General features: G+C 45.5%; 1 protein-coding gene, 1 long non-coding RNA gene and 1 pseudogene across 3 annotated transcripts, besides 3 other annotated features; 2 read left to right on the plus strand and 1 right to left on the minus strand.

The window, feature by feature from the left end:
- Window positions 2,262–3,113, plus strand: LOC100420324 (MAGE family member A10 pseudogene; annotated as a pseudogene).
- On the minus strand, window positions 6,208–8,395 carry LOC107985632 (uncharacterized). The gene is made up of 3 exons (XR_001755983.2): window positions 7,974–8,395; window positions 6,910–6,986; window positions 6,208–6,295 (listed from the first exon to the last, which is right to left on the minus strand). It is a non-coding gene; the product is annotated as an uncharacterized LOC107985632 (long non-coding RNA).
- Window positions 7,622–8,821: an enhancer, noted in NCBI's record as "P300/CBP strongly-dependent group 1 enhancer chrX:30232864-30234063 (GRCh37/hg19 assembly coordinates)". NCBI's record gives its function as "activates an origin of replication core promoter dependent on BRD2, BRD4, P300/CBP, MED14 and CDK7 cofactors, with strong dependence on P300/CBP, by STARR-seq in HCT116 cells {active_cell/tissue: HCT116}" and the evidence as "EXISTENCE:reporter gene assay evidence [ECO:0000049][PMID:35650434]".
- Window positions 8,438–12,964, plus strand: MAGEB2 (MAGE family member B2). Of its 2 annotated transcripts, none has more exons than XM_011545512.2 (2): window positions 8,438–8,530; window positions 11,404–12,964. In XM_011545512.2, the coding sequence occupies exon 2, from the start codon at window positions 11,456–11,458 to the stop codon at window positions 12,413–12,415; it is 960 nt and encodes a 319-aa protein (XP_011543814.1). In that variant the 5' UTR covers window positions 8,438–8,530; window positions 11,404–11,455; the 3' UTR covers window positions 12,416–12,964. The 2 variants fall into 2 exon arrangements, with proteins under 2 accessions (XP_011543814.1, NP_002355.2); NM_002364.5 differs by having other exon boundaries at window positions 11,451–12,964.
- Window positions 11,629–12,128: an enhancer, noted in NCBI's record as "H3K4me1 hESC enhancer chrX:30236871-30237370 (GRCh37/hg19 assembly coordinates)". NCBI's record gives its function as "activates a minimal SCP1, AML or CMV promoter by ChIP-STARR-seq in primed H9 embryonic stem cells {active_cell/tissue: H9 hESC(primed)}" and the evidence as "EXISTENCE:reporter gene assay evidence [ECO:0000049][PMID:30033119]".
- Window positions 12,200–12,785: an enhancer, noted in NCBI's record as "OCT4-NANOG hESC enhancer chrX:30237442-30238027 (GRCh37/hg19 assembly coordinates)". NCBI's record gives its function as "activates a minimal SCP1, AML or CMV promoter by ChIP-STARR-seq in naive H9 embryonic stem cells {active_cell/tissue: H9 hESC(naive)}" and the evidence as "EXISTENCE:reporter gene assay evidence [ECO:0000049][PMID:30033119]".

Consider the following 18,228-nt stretch of genomic DNA (forward strand, 5'->3'; position numbering starts at 1 on the left):
CTATGTGTGACCTCTGCAGAAACATGGCCTGCTCCAGTTTCTGAACTAACTATTAGAAGAATAGCAGAAAGAATCTCAATCACTTCATTCCCAATATCCAGAGGTCCCAGAACTAGGTATTTTGAAACACGCAGTATCCTGTAACACTTGGATGAAATGCAGGCACTTGAGTAGCCTCCTCATTAACACAGTTCCTTGCCACTTCCACTATGGAAAGCCAGTTCATAAGATATAGTTTTTCCTGCGTGGTTTTCAAAGATTCTCATTCTCCTCTAGGGCTGAAAACCTGGCCATACACATACTCTTTTTTATTGGATCCCCCATAGTTTGGCTAGCACTAGCCTATTTACCCCCTTGGAGGTTTGGGGGCTGAGAAAATACAAATCTAATTTCCTTTCAGTAGCCCAAATACAGTATCATTTTTGGGGGAAATCTAGGGTGACATATATTTAACATAACCTTTTGACTGTGTCTCTCAATGATCAGGCACTTCACGCAAGGTTTGAATGTGGTTGAACCCTGTTGACTCTAAATTGGATTTTTGGAAAAACACCTAAAGAGCTGATATTTCATGTCACTTATTAAGGAGATGCTGTTGCACTTTGGATATCATCTTTACAGGCACTAAAGCAGGCATTTTGTTTTGAAAATGCCCCTGGTCTTCATTCTGGTTTCCTCCAAGGGCCACCACACTTTCACTGAAAACATTCAGAAAAACATAAGCTGAGGATCTTCCAGGACCATCCACAAAGTGTTCTGTTTTGACGTCTTAAGATCTAATGTGAAAAAAAAGGTGGGCGGGGCGGGGGGGTGTGGCATGCTTTCTTGGTTAAATAGGTTTAGGAAACTCATCATCCTATATCATCCCTTTTGGAGTTTTCCAGTGCATATTGGCATATTGAGGGTCCTGGGAAGTCTTGCAGTCAAAACAAAATCAGAAACTAAAACCTATTCAACTTTGTTTAAGGCAGCTTACTCTAAAATGATTTCACATTTTTATTAGTGCCTAATATTATTCCACAGGTCCTATTTTTGGAAATGCTGATGTAAACATCATTCTAGCACTGATTGGGAGGTATATTTGATTCCCAGGAACAATGTCTTAGCCAGAGATATTCATTGCCATCACTCCTTCCCCCATTCCCTGGCAGGTCTTCAAGCTTGCTTGTCTCAGAGTACCATGATTTCTTGATGTGTTTGAGCCTTCTATATTAACTGGGAGTAATATAACTCCGGAAGAGAGAGACCTCAGTGTCCTGCTCTGCCCCTGCTATGACAATTGGAAGGCCCAAGCAGGGTTTTTTTTTGTTTGTTTTTGAGACTTAGTTTTGCTCTCATTGCTGGAGTGCAATGGTGCAACCTCGGCTCACTGCAACCTCTGCCTCCTGGGTTCAAGCAATCCTCCTGCCTCAGCCTCCTGAGTAGCTGGGATTACAGGTGCCTGCTACCATGCCTGGCTAATTTGCTGTATTTTTAGTAGAGATGGGGTTTCACCATGTTGGCCAGGCTGGTCTCAAACTCCCGACCTCAGGTGATCCACCTGCCTTGGCCTCCCAAAGTGCTGGGATTACAGGCGTAGCCACTGTGCCTGGCCCAAGCAGAGTTTCAAGCTAAGATTTCTCAGGTAGGTTTGCCAGGCACCCTGTATACAGAAAACAGGCCCTGAATTTCTTTGCCCTGTATTATTTTCTCCTCAGGGTATTCAAGGAAGTAAGGTCCTCTGTCTGAAGGACCCGAGTTCAGCAAAAGGATACATTCCAGACTCTGTCAGGAGTAAGACTCATAATGAGGGGCAAGGGGACCACCCACCCCACAACAGAGGATGCCCTAAAGAGTCATGACCCTGCTATAAACTCTGGGGGGACCCAGATGGGAGTGGTCATATGAGATACCCTCTCACTTCCTCCTAGGGGGCCCCAGAGAAGTGATGGCCTGGGTCTGAGGTGAGATAACCTCAAGTCAGTAGAGGGAGTATCCTGAGACCTACCCAGAGGCACAGTGAGGACCCTAAGTGGGGACTGAAGGGGTCACCCATCATAATACAGAGGCATCCTCATAGAGTCCACATCTGCCTGTCCTACTGTGAGCCCTGGGTAGGCTGCTGGCTGGCTGTACTGTAAAGAGCCTTCTCAGTTCCTTCTTCAAGTGCTTACAAGACAGGACAGGAGACATGTGAGGCCCGAGGGCACTGCCCTTAGGAAAAGCCTAGTGTAAGTGGCCTTTGTCAGAGCTAACAATGTTGAGTTTACCAGCTGAAGACACCCACATCTTCCTTCTCTTCCTTAGGTTGTGGTCCCCCATTGGCATACTTCCTACCAACATGCCTGCCTAACATACCACCAAGAAATAGCATGCCTCCATGCCAGAAGCATCAGCACTGTACATGTGAGCAATGCCTCCAGGCCTACAAGGAGATCCAAAGCCAAAAGTGTCCAACTTCATCAAGGGTATCAGATGAGTACTCAGAGGTCAAGAAGAGGAGGAAAGTCAGAGAATCTTGCAGCCTTTGCCAGACACTGAGAATTTGCCCAGGCACCCTCTATACTAGAAAGCGGTTTTTATGATGAATTCCCTGTTGCTCAGTTATCAAATGAAAAAGCCCATCACAAAAGCAGACATACTGAAAAATGCCATAAAAGAGCACAAGGAGCACTTCCTGAGGTCCTGAGGAGAGCCGGAGAGCCTCTGAGTGTATGCAGCCTGTCTTTGGGGTTGAAGTAAAAGAAGTAGACCACTCTTATGCCCTTGTCAGAAAACTGGACCTCACCTATGATGAGAGGTTGAGATATGAAAAGGGCATGTCCAAGACCAGCCTCCTGATGACTGTCCTAGGCCTGATATTTACAAAAGGCAATTGAACCAATGAGGAGATAATCTTGGAAGAGCTGAAAATAAAGGGTATATATTACGGGAAGAAGTACTTCATCTCTGGGGATCCCAGGAAGGTCATCACCAGAGATCTGACGCATGAAAGGTAGCTGGACTGCCAGCAGATGCCCCATAGTGATTCTTCCCACTATGAATTCCTATGGGGTCTGAGAGCCCACCCTGAAACCAGAAAAATGAAAGTCATAGAAATTTTGAGTCAAGGTTAATGATACTGTGAAAGGAACATAAATCTTGGGACCCCAAACTCACTAAGCCAAAGGGAAAAGCTGGGAACTGGGTCAAGCAAACCTGTCTCCCATTTGGTTCCTAAATAAGATAGCTAGAAAGATAAAAAAAACTACATACCTCCCTCACAATTTGGCCACAGGGATATCCCTTGTGGGCCCCAAGATCTTTACCCTAAAGTAGTTCTGTTGAATTTCACCCTGGCAATGTAAATTCATAGCTTATCTTCATAGGTGTGGGACAGAAGACAGAACTCAAAGTCATCCCTCTACTCACCTGAAACAAATGCATATCTGATTGCTTCTTTTGCCCTATTGTTTATGTTATCTTATGTATAAATGCAGAGTCACTGAGCCAGATGAAGGCATAAGTGAATATTTCCTCTACCCACCCTTGCACAGGAAAATTGTGTATTCAGTGAAAGGCTAATCAAAGACTCAAAAGGATGCCAACTTTTGTTTGTCTCTTATCTACCAACACATTTTAAAAATATTTCTTCCTCTTCCCCCAATATCTCCCCCTTTTCCTCTTTAAATACCGAAGCCCTCAAAATCACTTTTGGAGAAAGGCATAGACCTGTCTCCTGGGCATGAATCCTTAACTTTGGCAAATAAACCTCCTTAAATGATTGAGACATGCCTCAGTCATTTTCATTGATTCAGAATACCATCCCAGTGCCTTGCCATCCAGGTATGGAGAGGCTTTGAGACATGAAGAAGGACAGAGCTCAAGCCAGAGTTGAAGCCAGGGCTGGCACTACTGCCACAGCCAAGCAACATTCCAGGGCTATGTTCAGCAGCTTCTCCCATGCCTAGTAAAGACTGAAACAAATTTTTCACTTTGAGTTTGAAGTGGGCAGTGAATGTTCTCAATAGTAGAGGGTTAGGATAAGGAAACACGGTACACAATGAATATCTCCTTTGTCTTCTTGCTTTTATGGGTAACTTATAGATTTGTTTATATATTGGTATTCTTCAAATGTTGTTCTTTTTAATAGATGATTTATTTAACTTAAGAATCTAAGATTTTGAATAGCACAGGTCATACATTTATTGTTGTTTATCAGGTTTAAGAATGAGAGTTTTGGCACCGCATGTTCTCACTCATAAGCGGGAGGTGAACAATAAGAACACATGGACACAGGGAGGGGAATATCACACACCAGGGACTGTCGGGGGAGGGGGGAAGGGGAGGTAGAGCATTAGGACAAATACCTAATGCATGTGGGGCTTAAAACCTAGATGACGGGTTAATAGGTGCAGCAAACCACCATGGCACATGTATACCTATATAACAAACCTGTACATGTATCTGCACAAGTATAGCAAAACTTAAAGTAAAAGAAAAATAAATAATTTAAAAAATGAGAGTTTTTAGTTAAAAAAAAAAAAGTTAAAATCCTTGATTTTTCCCCCTGTGATCCACACAAAATAACATAGCATCAGAATAGGTATTTTCTTGGAAATGTGAAATAACTCCACACTCAAATAGTTAAAATCATGAAATAAAAAAAAAAAGGTGAGATGTGTTCAATTCTTGATTTGCCTTATTCCTTTTAGCCTTTCTTTTTAAAAAATTAAAAGATATATAGCTGGATTTGTTTGGCTTTTTCAAAAATGTAAGATAAATTAAATTGTACTCATTTAGTACTCTTGTTCATTGGCTCTTTTATTCCCTAAATATTAATCAATTCTCTGCTCTTTGGAAGGCTCAATGTTAGTACTGGAGATGAAGGAGATGAGAAGAAATAAAAAAAGAAAGTTTTACCCATTGTCCAAAGAATTTTAGTCGTTAGGAGCAGCTATCATACAAATACATGGTGAAAGTATCTCTCAGATCCAAAGGACAAGGTTAAAAAAGATGGAGGCAGGTAAGAAAGTGGGAAGGGTTCCAGATGAGAGTGTGTAGTGTAAATGCTCTGAGAAAAAGAAAGCTAGGGCCTTGGGAAACTGCAGGTCCCTCACTGGGAGGTAATTTTAAGTGAGGCTGCATGCTGGACTGGAGGAGGCTGTGGGAGTGGTGAGCAGGGCAAGACCCTCAGATGGTAAGCTTCAGAGTTGAGAGACTAAGCCTATAATGGAAAAGTGCTCTTAACTTTGGAGAAAACTGGAAAGAAGCTCCACCAGGGGCAGCACTGGAAAGTGACTATGCTCTTGTCCCAGTGCAGATGAACACAGTGCAGAAACTAGCTGCTTTATATACATTGTATCCAGTGAGCTTCGGAGAAATAAGGATGATACTCCCTTAAGAAGAAATGATAAGAAGCCGCTGGGTACTCTGCACTGGGCTGGAAGAGTTAAGAGTCAATTTCATTAAAAGGAGCATTCAAATTAGGCTATCATGTACATAATTTGGCAAGCTCTAGGCAAGTTCTAGGTGTTTGGTGCTTGTTAAATTAATGAAAATAAAGGTGATTTAGATGGAAGTGACACTGGGAGGGAAGGAAGTTGTTAGTCCTTGACGCAAATGCGTTGTGTTGCACCTAACTGGAGAAGTCTACCTCACATTGAATAATTTATCATTTAATGGGGAAATATTACTTGATTTTTCGTGCTAATCTGCATTTTGGCTTATTGGGTTTTCTTTCTTCTAGAATGCTGCATATTCTCTGACATCTGTTGGATTAAGAAAAAGCAATCACAGTGGGATGGGTGGTATCATCAAGTTAATCATAGGTAATAGCTGCCATGTTGAAACCTCAATATGGGCCAAGTATTGTGCCAGGTGCTTTACATACATTAACCACATTTCACCAATTCCACAAGGAAGGGGCTTATCAAACCTATTTCACAGATGCAGAGCCTGAGGCTCACAGAGTTTAGTAATGTGCCTGAGTTCACATAGCTGGTAAGTGGCAGGGCTGAAACCAGACCCCCAGTCTGGATTAATCTACATCCCACACTGTTCCAGTCTTCCCATTCTGAGGCTAACCTCATGTTGCTTCATTCATTTTTTCTCTCTATTTTTGAAAAATGTATCTCAGGCAATAAAAAGAAGGACTCTGTGCCCATACTACTGGGTCAAATATATTCCCAGACCAATATGAATGCCAAAATAAATGAGAGGCATAAATAAAAAAAAGAAAAATAGTACCTGGTGTCAATACGTTCATCTACACAAGCAATATCAGGTAATCTCAAAAGATCAGAAGCTCCCAAAATCATCCTGGACAGTCTCTTCCCTGTAGAAAATAAATGTGTCAGAACAGAATTTTCGTGAGAATCTAAGTCTAGCAAGATGGAAAAAATCAGCATGTTTTTTTCTCTGACAGCCCACTACCTGTCCTGGAGCTTCTGCCTTGTGCTTCAGCTTCCCTATCTCACATCACTCCCGGAACACGGCTCCTTCTCTGCAAGGTTTGCAGTAGAAAAACTGGTCATGTTTGCAGGGATGTGACATTTCCCAGAAAGCCTTTAATGAAAGATGATCCCCAGTTCAGAGGACATGGGAAACCAATATCTCAGAATATATGAGGTTATGCATAGACTGACTCTCATCTGCTCTCAGACCTAGAGAGCTCGAGACAGAACTGTCAGGCTGAGCATCCACTCATTTAATCTTCAGACCTCTCATGGACATGGCCTAAGAAGGTCAACTTCATGTCAGTAGATGCAGTTCAGCCTCTGATAGATATGAACGTGAGGACCCTGAATGAAGATGATGGAAGGACCCAGCCAGAACTGTGGGGTCCCAAAAAGTCCAGCTCAGGCTGTCAGCCCTTCAAAGTCCAGAACAGCCCTGGCTAAATGTAGCTCACCACAACTTCCAGTTCAGAGGTCGGCAGAGGGTGAGTACCTTGATCTGATGGGAACAGCCTCAGGTCAGTGGAGGATGGAGTGCCCCAAGACTGGCCAGGTGTCATGGTGAGGACCCTGAAGAGAAATAAGAGAACTGTTATAGGACCAACGAGTTTCTGTGTCAGCTGCAAAGTAACAGACCCACTATAATAAAACAGCAAAGTTTGCAGCAAAGAGTTTAATGATTGCAGGGTGCCAAGTGAGGAGATGAGAAGAGACTCTCAAATTCATCTCCCCAAGGAGTTCTGGGCTGGGATTTGCAAGGAGATCATGGAGGGCGAGGGGCTGGAGAACTGAGGTTGTTGATTCGTTGGGGTAAAGGGGATGAAATCATCAGAATGTGGAAACTGCGTTTTTTTTTTTTTAGTCAGCTCCTGTGGGGTCTTTTGGACCAGCTGATGTCAGTAGGGTCCTTTAGAGCAGCTGGCATCAGTGGGGTCCTTCAGACCAGCTGAGTCATTAGAATCATCAGTATGCAGGACCTTAAGGAATATCTCAAAGAAAAAAAGTTTCATTATGTTAAAATTGTTATCTATAGAGCAATTAAGGGCAACTATAATCTAGTAACAGGATCTACATGATTCTGGGATAATAGGCACCAAACTACTATGAGGAAGCAGGTCAGAGAGCAGCTGACTTCATGATTAATGCTGAATGTTCTGCAAGCTTGGCGTATCTTCATTTATCTCCCTTCCCTCTTCCCTGATTAATTTTATACAGTTCATAGGGGCAGTTTCAAAACCACCCACCCCAGAACAGAGGAGCCCACAAATTCCACCAATGCTGTCACCCTTGGGGAGCCCAGAAGAGAATTATGAGGTGGAGAAATCCCATCAATATGCCTCGTGTGTTTCACAGAGGTGAAGACCTTGGACTAGTGGAAATGGCCCTAGGTCAAAGAGACAAAACCCACGCCCTAACAGGAATCAAGGTGAGGATCCTAAGTGTTACGAGGGGGCTCTCCCCCTTGCAACACCAGCAGAGGGGGCCAAACAGAGCCCCTCGCCATTGTTAGCACCGAGAGGCCCCAAAATAAGTATCTCTGAATCCCCTTCATTCCACCTGTATAGTCTCGGGGAAGGAAGGGCCTTTGTCTGAAGAGGGTGACCCCAGTTGTGCAGAGAGAGAGTCTTGGCTTTCACGGGAATCAAGGTGAGGACTCTGAGGGCGGATGAGAAGACCTCTCCCCAAAAAAGGCACATTCACAGAGCCCTGCCGCTGCTGTCAGGCCTGTGAGGCCCAGGCAGGGGTGGCCTGTTTGGCACGCTTAGATTTCCACAGTGGGGGCTGAGGGAGGTGGGGGTATTGTTTGGAGGCTGGCGGATTTGGGTCAGCACGCATATTCGTCCCAGGCTGCTAGATACTGAGGTGAGGACCCCTAGTGGAGACGAAGGGACCAGCAACGCTAGAACAGTGACGTCCGGTAGCGTCCAGCCGTCAGCCCTCAGACGCCACGGGCTGCCGGATGTGAGTCATCCTGACTTCCGCTTTGAAAAAAAAGACCCGAGCGGATGTGGCTCATCCTGACTTCCGCTTTGGAGGCGAGGACCCGAGCGAGTGTAGGGGGTGCGGCGTCTGGTCAGCCAGGGGTGAATTCTCAGGACTGGTCGGCAGTCAAGGTGAGGACCCTGAGTGTAAACTGAAGAGACCACCCCCACCTGTAACAAAGAGGGCCCCACTAAGTCCCGCTTCTGCATTTGGTCCTGAGAGGCTCCGGTAAAGCCGTCCGGCAATGTTCCACCTGGAAAGTTCCAGGGCAGGGGAAGGGTGGGGGGAGGGGCAGTCGCGGGGGAAGGAGGTTTGGACGCAGGGAATAGGCCTCATTCTGCACGTAGGGTGGGTGTAGGCCCTAACTGAAATCAATTTGAGGGCCCTAAATGTGGACTGAAGAGAACATCTCCTACCCTTAACAAAGGTGGCCTCACTAAGTCTCGTCCCTGAAGACGGCTCTGGGAGGCCCCAGCAAAGCTGTGCCTGGAAAGTCTCAGGGAGGGGAGGGCCTTGAACCTAGGAAGCAGCCCTGCTTCTGCTCATATGGCATCAACCTAAAACCTAACTGGGGTTAAGGTGAGGACTCTGAGTATTAATGAGCGGACCTCTACCCAAAAGAGGAGTCATGCTGGGCAGTTCCCAGGCCGAGGTGACACTGGGTTTTAGATGGTCCCAGGCTGACATGACAAATGCAGAGCAACCTGACTTCCTCTCCCGGGACTAAAGAAGTTGAGGGCTACATCCAAGACCCACATCTGCTGCCAGCAATAGGAAGGTCAGGGCAAAGCTAGCAAGCTGAGATGCTCTCTAGTTTCCTCTGGAGGTGGTCTCAGGGAGGTGAGGGTCTTGGTGTAATGGGGTAGGTCTAATGCGACAGAGAGGCCCAGTCTCTAACAGGAAGCAAGGATGTGACACTGAGTGATGAGGAGGGGACTCCAACCAGAAAGAAGTGCCATATAGAGCCCACTCTTGTTGTCAGACCAGGGAGACCTGAGCATGGCATGTTGAGTTGTACTCACTCTCCCCAAGACATCTCAGAGAAGTGAACGACCCCATTAAAGAGGGCAGCCTGGCCGGGCGCGGTGGCTCACGCCTGTAATCCCAGCACTTTGGGAGGCCGAGACAGGCGGATCACGAGGTCAGGAGATCGAGACCATCCTGGCTAACACGGTGAAACCCTGTCTCTACTAAAAATACCAAAAAAAAAATTAGCGGGGAGCGGTGGCGGGCGCCTGTAATCCCAGCTACTCGGGAGGCTGAGGCAGGAGAATGGTGTGAACCTGGGAGGCGGAGTTTGCAGTGAGCCGAGATAGAGCCACTGCAGTCCGGCCTAGGCGAAAGGGCGAGACTCCGTCTCTTAAAAAAAAAAAAAAAAAAGGCAGCTTGAGGTCAGCAGAGGGAGGGTTTCCAGGTTGTGCCAGATGTTATGATAAGAACTCTGACGACTGCAGGGGGCTCCCACCCCATATTAGTGGGAGCCACACAATCCTCAGTACTGTCAGCTCTGAGAGACCCCAGGCAGAAATGTGAAACAGAGGTGCCCATCAGTTCCCACTCAAGGGTAACAGGGAAATGAGAGTTTTAATCTGAGGGTGGTGATCACTTGTCAACAGAAGTAATGTACTAATTGGTCCATTCTGGCATTACTATAAATACCCAAGACTGGGTAATTTACAAAGAAAAGAGGTTTAATTGGCTCACAGTTCTGCAGGCTGTACAGGAAGCATGATGCTGGCATTTGCTCAGCTTCTGGGAGCAGGGCTCAGGAAATTTACAATCATGGCAGAAGGGGAAGGGGAAGCAGACATGTTACATGGCCAGAGCAGGATCAAGAGGCCAGGGGAGGCGCTACACACTTTTAAATGACCAGATCTCATGAGAAGTCATCGTTAAGGGGAATGGTGCTAAACCATTCATGAAAAACCTGCCCTCATGATCCAGTCATCTCCCACCAGGCTCCACCTCCAACATTGAGGATTACAGTTAGACATGAGATTTGGTGAGGATACAGATCCAAACCATATCAGGGAAGAATCTTAGACCCTCTCATGAGTCAAATTTAGAGGCTGAGTTGGGACTGTATGTGGGACCATCTATCACAGGGCAGTTATCTGCCTGCCACAGCTTTTACTTTTGGGAAGACCACATTTGGTCAGATAAGGCCACCCTCACTTCCTCCTATGGGTTCTCAGGGATGTTCACTCTTACCATGACGACATAGGCCTCAGTTCAATAAAAAGGAGAGCTCCTCTACCAGGAGTCAAATTGAGGAATCTGAGAATTCAAGGAACCACTGAACCCTTAACAGTGGAGACATCAAAGAATCCAGTCCAACCCTTTATTTTCAGCCCTAGAAAGCTCAGGAAAGGGTTATCAGGTTTAGTGTCCCCCTCTCTTTTTTATATAAGATCTAAGAGAGGTGAGATTCTTAGTCTGACGGTGTAGCCACCACTCAGCAGAAGGGGGCTGGTGCCAAGCCCTACATGAAGCCAAGGTGGGGACCTTGAATGAGAGCTGAAGACTCTAATGATTCCAAGACATCAAAGACCCCACTGAACTCTCAGCACTGGGTGTCACTTCTCAGGGTGGTGGTTGAGGCACCCCTTCAATTTCTTCTCATGAGTCCCAGGGTGCTTTGAGGTGTCAAATTCACAGTAGCGGAAGGGAGTGGCTCAGGCCCTGCCAAGACTTCATATGATAATCCTAAAAGTTAACTGATAAAACCCCAAACACCAGAAGACAGGAGGCCGCACTGCCAGTACCTCCTGTCACCATAGTAAGCCCAAGGAAGGGCTGACAGAATGCAGTCTGAAACTCACTGTAGGGGTTCTGTGGTTCTTCTCTGGTGTCTCAGGGGAAAGGATAACCAGGACGACAGGAGCCTTGTGGCTTTCTAGAACAGTGCCTTCAGGGAAACTTGCAAAGGCAGGCTTCCTTCAGTAAAGCTAAGATGGGGTCTTCCAGCTGAAGGTGCTCACAGATCTCATTCTCCCATCTCCAGGTATACTAACCATCTATTCTTCTGCCCACATTTCTTGGTTTACCCAGCCATCATGCCTCGTGGTCAGAAGAGTAAGCTCCGTGCCCGTGAGAAACGCCGCAAGGCCCGAGATGAGACCCGGGGTCTCAATGTTCCTCAGGTCACTGAAGCAGAGGAAGAAGAGGCCCCCTGCTGTTCCTCTTCTGTTTCTGGGGGTGCTGCTTCAAGCTCTCCTGCTGCTGGCATTCCCCAGGAGCCTCAGAGAGCCCCAACCACTGCCGCTGCTGCGGCTGCGGGTGTTTCATCCACAAAATCTAAAAAAGGTGCCAAGAGCCACCAAGGTGAGAAAAATGCAAGTTCCTCCCAGGCCTCAACATCCACTAAGAGCCCAAGCGAAGATCCTCTAACCAGGAAGTCAGGGTCGTTGGTGCAGTTCCTGTTGTACAAGTATAAAATAAAAAAGTCCGTTACAAAGGGAGAAATGCTGAAAATTGTTGGCAAAAGGTTCAGGGAGCACTTCCCTGAGATCCTCAAGAAAGCCTCTGAGGGCCTCAGTGTTGTCTTTGGCCTTGAGCTGAATAAAGTCAACCCCAACGGCCACACTTACACCTTCATCGACAAGGTAGACCTCACTGATGAGGAATCCCTGCTCAGTTCCTGGGACTTTCCCAGGAGAAAGCTTCTGATGCCTCTCCTGGGTGTGATCTTCTTAAATGGCAACTCAGCTACTGAGGAAGAGATCTGGGAATTCCTGAATATGTTGGGAGTCTATGATGGAGAGGAGCACTCAGTCTTTGGGGAACCCTGGAAGCTCATCACCAAAGATCTGGTGCAGGAAAAATATCTGGAGTACAAGCAGGTGCCCAGCAGTGATCCCCCACGCTTTCAATTCCTGTGGGGTCCGAGAGCCTATGCTGAAACCAGCAAGATGAAAGTCCTGGAGTTTTTGGCCAAGGTAAATGGTACCACCCCCTGTGCCTTCCCAACCCATTACGAAGAAGCTTTGAAAGATGAAGAGAAAGCCGGAGTCTGAGCCAGAGTTGTAGCCAGGCCTTGCACTACTGCCATAGCCAATCAATCTCCCAAAGCCAAGTTTACCTGCTGTTCTCACCCCCAATGAGGTCTTAGGCAGATTCTTTACTTTGTAATTCAAAAGGCCTGTTAACCTTTGTTCTTGTTATGCATGAATAACTTGTTGACTTTTTTTTTTTCTCTTTTTCAACTAGTGTTTCAACAGGTTTATTTAGATTCAGAATGTAAATTTACAAATGATATAGATCACCCTGTTATTGCTGTTTTTCAGGGACAGTAGAAAGTGTTTTGTTTTTTGAGTGAAACAACTTATTAATAAAAATCCTTAAATCACTTTTGTAATCCAGGACAAGAAAATGTGGCATTAGAGTAGAAATATCTTTGGAAATGTGAAAGACCCCATAGTGAAATATTTGGGATCAGAAGCCAGAGGTGTAAAAGTGGTCAATTCTTGGTTTACTTCATTTAATCTTTCTTTTCATAAAGATACATACCTGGATTTGTTTATGTTATTCAAGAATGTGTGAGAAATTAAACCATAGTTAGTTAATCCTCTTGTTTATGGCTCTTACTTTAAATATTTTAATTGAGCATCTGTTCTTTGGGAGTCTTCCTGCTTGTACTGGGAATGTTTAGTCAAAGAAGACCAAGCTTGTGCTCATGCAATTGTAGATTCTAGGAGAAGCTGTCATCATGGAAGGTGAGACACTTCATAAAAAATAAAAGATAGGAAAAAGAAGTGATGAAAGCAATAGTTTTCATTGCTAAGCAGCATTTTGGCTGAATGGGGTTTTTCAGTCTTAGAATGTTGCGTATTCTCAGCCGGGTGCAGTTGCTCACATCTGTAATCCCAGCACTTTGGGAGGCTGAGGTGGGTGGATCACCTGAGGTCGGGAGTTCGAGACCAGCCTGACCAACATGGAGAAACCCTATCTCTACTAAAAATACAAAATTAGCCAGGCGTGGTGGCGCATGGCTGTAATGCCAGCTACTCGGGAGGCTAAGGCAGGAGAATCACTTGAACCCAGGAGGCGGAGGTTGCTGTGAGCCGAGACTGCGCCATTGCACTCCAGCCTGGGCAACAAGAGCGAAACTCCCTCTAAAAAAAAAAAAAAAAAAAAAAAAAAAAATTGTTGCATATTCTCTGAGATATCCTGGATTTTTTTTTTTTAATCTCAACTGGAATGTTGGTAATGTCTCTGATCAAAATGATAGTGGTAATTGCCACTTCCTGATGTCTCAGTTGACGAGACAGGCACATTTGCATGCATTACATATATTCCACCAGTACTACGAGATGGGGCTTATCAAACCCACTTTACGGTAAAGAGTCTGAGGCTCACTGAGTTTGGTAATTTGCCAAAGTTTACAGGGCCAGTAGTGAAAGGGTTGGGATAAGCCTCCTGATCTGAATTACCCTAGAGCCTACCCTGTTCCACCCCTCTCAGCCTGAGGCAAACCTTGAAAAAATATTTCCGTTTTCTTCTCATTACTGCGGAATGTGTTTCAGGTGATAAAAAGAATAACCTTGTAACCCAAACTAGTAGATTGGAATACATAGCCACAGCAACAATAATACCAAAAAAACTGAGAGGTATAAATAAGTAAAAGAGGCAATATTCAGTGACAGTATGATTATCTACATTCGCAATGTTAGATAACCTCAAAAGATCAGGGGCTCCCCAAATCATCCTGAACAATCTCTTCCCTGTAGAAAATAAATCTATCAGAACAGAAATTACATGAGAATGTAAGGCTGGCTGATAGAAGAAATAGATCAATGTATCTTATCTCTGGCTGCCCATCTCCAATCCTAGGCCCCCTGCTTTGTGCTACAGCTTTGCGGTATCACACCACTCCTAGGACAGAGACCCATTCTCTGCAATGTTTACAGAGAGGAAATTGTTCTAGAATTTGCAGAGATGTGGCATTTTGCAGGAAGCATTTAATCCAAGAGACAGAGCCAAGATGAGGGCTGGGGAGACCAACATCCCAGAATATCAGGCAGGGGTTTAACATAGACACATTCCCTTCTGCTCTCAGACACGGTCCTAGGCTGAGCTGTCAGTCTGAGCATCCCCTCACATATTCTTCAGGTGTCTGAGAGACATAAGAGCCCTAAGGGCAGCATCCTCAAGTCAGTAGGGAAAGGAATCCCAGCCTCTTATAGGAATGAAGGTAATAAACCTAAATGAGGGTGATGGAAGGACCCAGCCAGAACAGTTGGGGGCCTGTAAAGTCACGTTCCAATTGTTAGTCTTGTGAAGTCCAGAACCGTCCTGGTGGACACTGACTTCCAATTCAGGTCCCAGCAAGGTGAGGACTTTGGTCTGAAGGCTATGGCCTCAGGTCAGTAGGGAGTGGAGTCCCAGGAAGGGGGCAGAGTCAAGGTGAAGGCCTGGCATGTGGATATGGGGACCACTCAACCCATAACTGGCAGGCGTGCCTCTAGTCATTCCTTTGCTATTAGCCCTAGGAGGCCTAGGGAGGAGCTGGCAGGCCCAGGTGCCCGTGTCTTCTTCCTGGAGAATCTCAAGGAGATGAGAGACTTGATTTACAGGCTGGCCTCCCAGTTAAGCAAAGAGTGGAATCCCAGACCATGATAGGTATTAAGGTAAAAATCTCATATGAGGAAAGAGGCAAACAACTGCTAGAGAGGTGAACAGAACAAGGACGTCCTTAGAAAGTTATGCCGGGCCAGACGCGGTGGCTCATGCCTGTAATCCCAGCACTTTGGCAGGCCGAGGTGGGCGGATCATTTGAGGTCAGGAGTTCAAGATCAGCCTGGCCAGCATGGCAAAAACCCGTCTCTACTTAAAAAATACAAAAATTAGCTGGGCGTGATGGTGGGCGCCTGTAATCCCAGCTACTTGGGAGGCTGAGGCAGGGAGAATTGCTTGAACCTGGGAGGCGAAGCTTGCAGTGAGCTGAGATCACGCCACTGCACTCCAGCCTGGGCAACAGAGCGAGACTTTATCTTAAAAAAAAAAAAAAAAAGAAAAGAAAGTTATGCCCTGGGAGGCCATAAGCATAGCTTTCAGGCTGAGGTTACCCCACATTCGCTGAGGGGAGGGGAGTGGTCTCAGGGACAGGAAGTCCTTGGACTAATAGGAGAGGCCCCATTCAGTAGAGGGAGGAGATTGGCTCCTTAACAGGATTCAACATGATGACACTGAGTGACAATGAGGGGACCCCTCTCAGAAAGAAGAGGGTCACATAGAACCTTGTCCCTATTGTCAGACCTGAGACCTGGACATGATGACATGATGTATCATACTCACTTCTTCCCAGGTAATCTCGCGGAGGTGAAAAATATTAACAAAGTGGGCAGCCTCAGGTCAGTAGAGAGAAGATTTCTAGGTTGTTGCAGAAGTAAATGTGAGGACCCTGAAGACTGAGGTGAACACCTACCCCATAACAGTGAGGGTAACACAGATTCCTTCCACTACTGTTAGCCTAGGGAGAACATGAGCAGTTATGGCAATATGAAGCAAATTTTACTTCTTCTTAGGGTGTACCAGGAAATTGGTCTTCAATTCCCTTCATATGGGGAGACAGGCCTCAAGTCAAGACAGGGAGGATTTGCACAGGGTGTGACAGGAATAAGGATGAGGAAACTGAAGAGTATGGGACCACAGACCCCACATCAGTAGGAGCCACACAGAATCCTCCCTACTGTCAGCCCTCAGAGACCCCAAGCAGAAATGTCAGGTGGAGTTTCCCATCAGGTCCTACTCAAGGGTAACAAGGGAAGTGAGGGTCTTGATCTTAGGGTGGTAGTCTCACATCAACAGAAAAAGAAATCTTAGACCTGTCCAGAAGTTAAAAATTTAGGACCCTGAGTTGGGACCCTGCATGGAACTACCCATGATAGGGCCTTGAACTGCCTGCCACAGGTTTCATTCTTGTGAGACCATTGGCAGGTATATAGCCAGATGAGGCCATCCTTGCTTCCTCTTGCTGGATCTTAAGAAGGTGTGGGCCTCACTTTGAGGAGATGTCATCAGGTCAAGAAGGAGGGGATCCCCAGGCCCTGCCAGGAGTAAAATCAGGGAATCTGAGTGGAGACTGATGGTACAACATAGCCTTGAATAGAGGGGACAACAAAGTGTCATGCCCTACCCTTTGATATCAGCCTTAGAAGACTCAGAGCAGGGCTGTCAGGGGAGGCACCTCATCACTTCTTTATATACGGTCTAGGGGAGGGGAAATCTTTGGTCTGAAAGTTCAGCTACCAGTCAGCAGAAGAGATCCAATACATGCCAGTCACTGTGCCAAGTGCTTTCCATACATTACCCACATCCTGCCAGTTCTGCCAGACAGGGCTTACCAAACCCATTCCATAGATGCAGAACCTAAGGCTCATAGGATTTAGTAATGTGCCCAAGTCACACTGCTAGTAATGACAGGGCTGGGATGAGAACACTGGTCTGAGTTAGTCAAAAGCCCACACTGTGCCACTCCTCTCAGACAAAGGATGACCTTGTTCCTTAATTAACTTTTCCTCTCGTTACTGCAAAATGTACCAGAGGCAATAAAAAGAAAGACTGTGGCCAAACTATTGGACTGTAATATATAGCCAGAACAATAAAAATATCAAAATAAATGGAAGGTTTGAGTAAGGAAAAAAATAATATTTTGATGACATAATTTACATACATATGTGATGTCCAATAAATTCAAAAAATGAGGAGGTACAAAAAAATCATCTGAGCCACTTCCTTAGAAAAAGTAAATATATCACAACAGAAGTTACATGAGACCCTAAATCTGGCTGGGCAAAAATAGGAGATGGACATTTGCTTTTTCTCTTATAGCCTACCACCTATCCTGGGCCCCCTGCCTTGTGCTGTAGATTTCCCATATTGCATCACTCCTAGGGCAGGGGCCTGTTCTCTGAAAGGTTTGCAGAGAGGACACTGCTCAAGAGTTTGCAGAGATGTGGCATTTCCCAGGAAGCCTTTAATCCCACTGGCAAGAGCCTGTATGAGGACATACATAAATCAGGACTGGAAAAACAAACACTGCAGAATATTGGTTATTACCAAAAGACTATCCCCTGCCTGCTTTCAGACCTAGAGGGTCCCAGGCAGAACTGTCAGGATGAGCATCCTCTCATTTATTTTTCACAGTTGTCAGGAACTTGAGAGCTTTAGCCTAAGGAGGGCAAGCTTAGGTCAGGAGAGAGATAAGACCCAAGATCTGTTAGATACAAATGCCAGATCCCTTAAAAGTAATTAAGAAAGCACCCATCCAGAACACCGGGGTCCCGAAGAGTTCAGGCCCTGCTGTTGACCCTTGGAGGTCCTGAATTCAATGGCTGGATGAAATATAGAGAGGCCTTGAAAGATGAAGCAGAGAGAGCCTGAGCCAGAGCTGCAGCCAGGGCTGTGCTACTGCCATGGCCATGGCACATACCAGAGCCACGTCCAGCTGCTCCTCCTACATCTAGTGAGATCTGAGACAGATTCTTCACTTTGTAGTTGAAAAGATAAGTCAACATTCTAAGTAGTGGAGAGTCAATTTTGACCTAGGGCAAACATATTGTATGTCTTATTTTTGTTTTTGCTCTACTTGAATAATTGGAAGATGTATCTTTTTTATTTTTGGTACTTTTAAAATGTATTCATTTTAATAGAAGATTTATTTAGCTTCAGTATCTGTGTTTATGAATAACATGGATAACATATTTATTTCTGTTTTCCATATATAAATGTAAAAGTGCTGGTATTTTTTTATCAACAAACTGAAAATCCTTAGGTCTCTCTTTGTGGTCCAGAACAAGATAACATAGCATATGAATAAGGACTTTTT

Source organism: Homo sapiens, chromosome X (genome assembly GCF_000001405.40).
Source record: "Homo sapiens chromosome X, GRCh38.p14 Primary Assembly".
Lineage (NCBI taxonomy): Eukaryota > Metazoa > Chordata > Mammalia > Primates > Hominidae > Homo > Homo sapiens.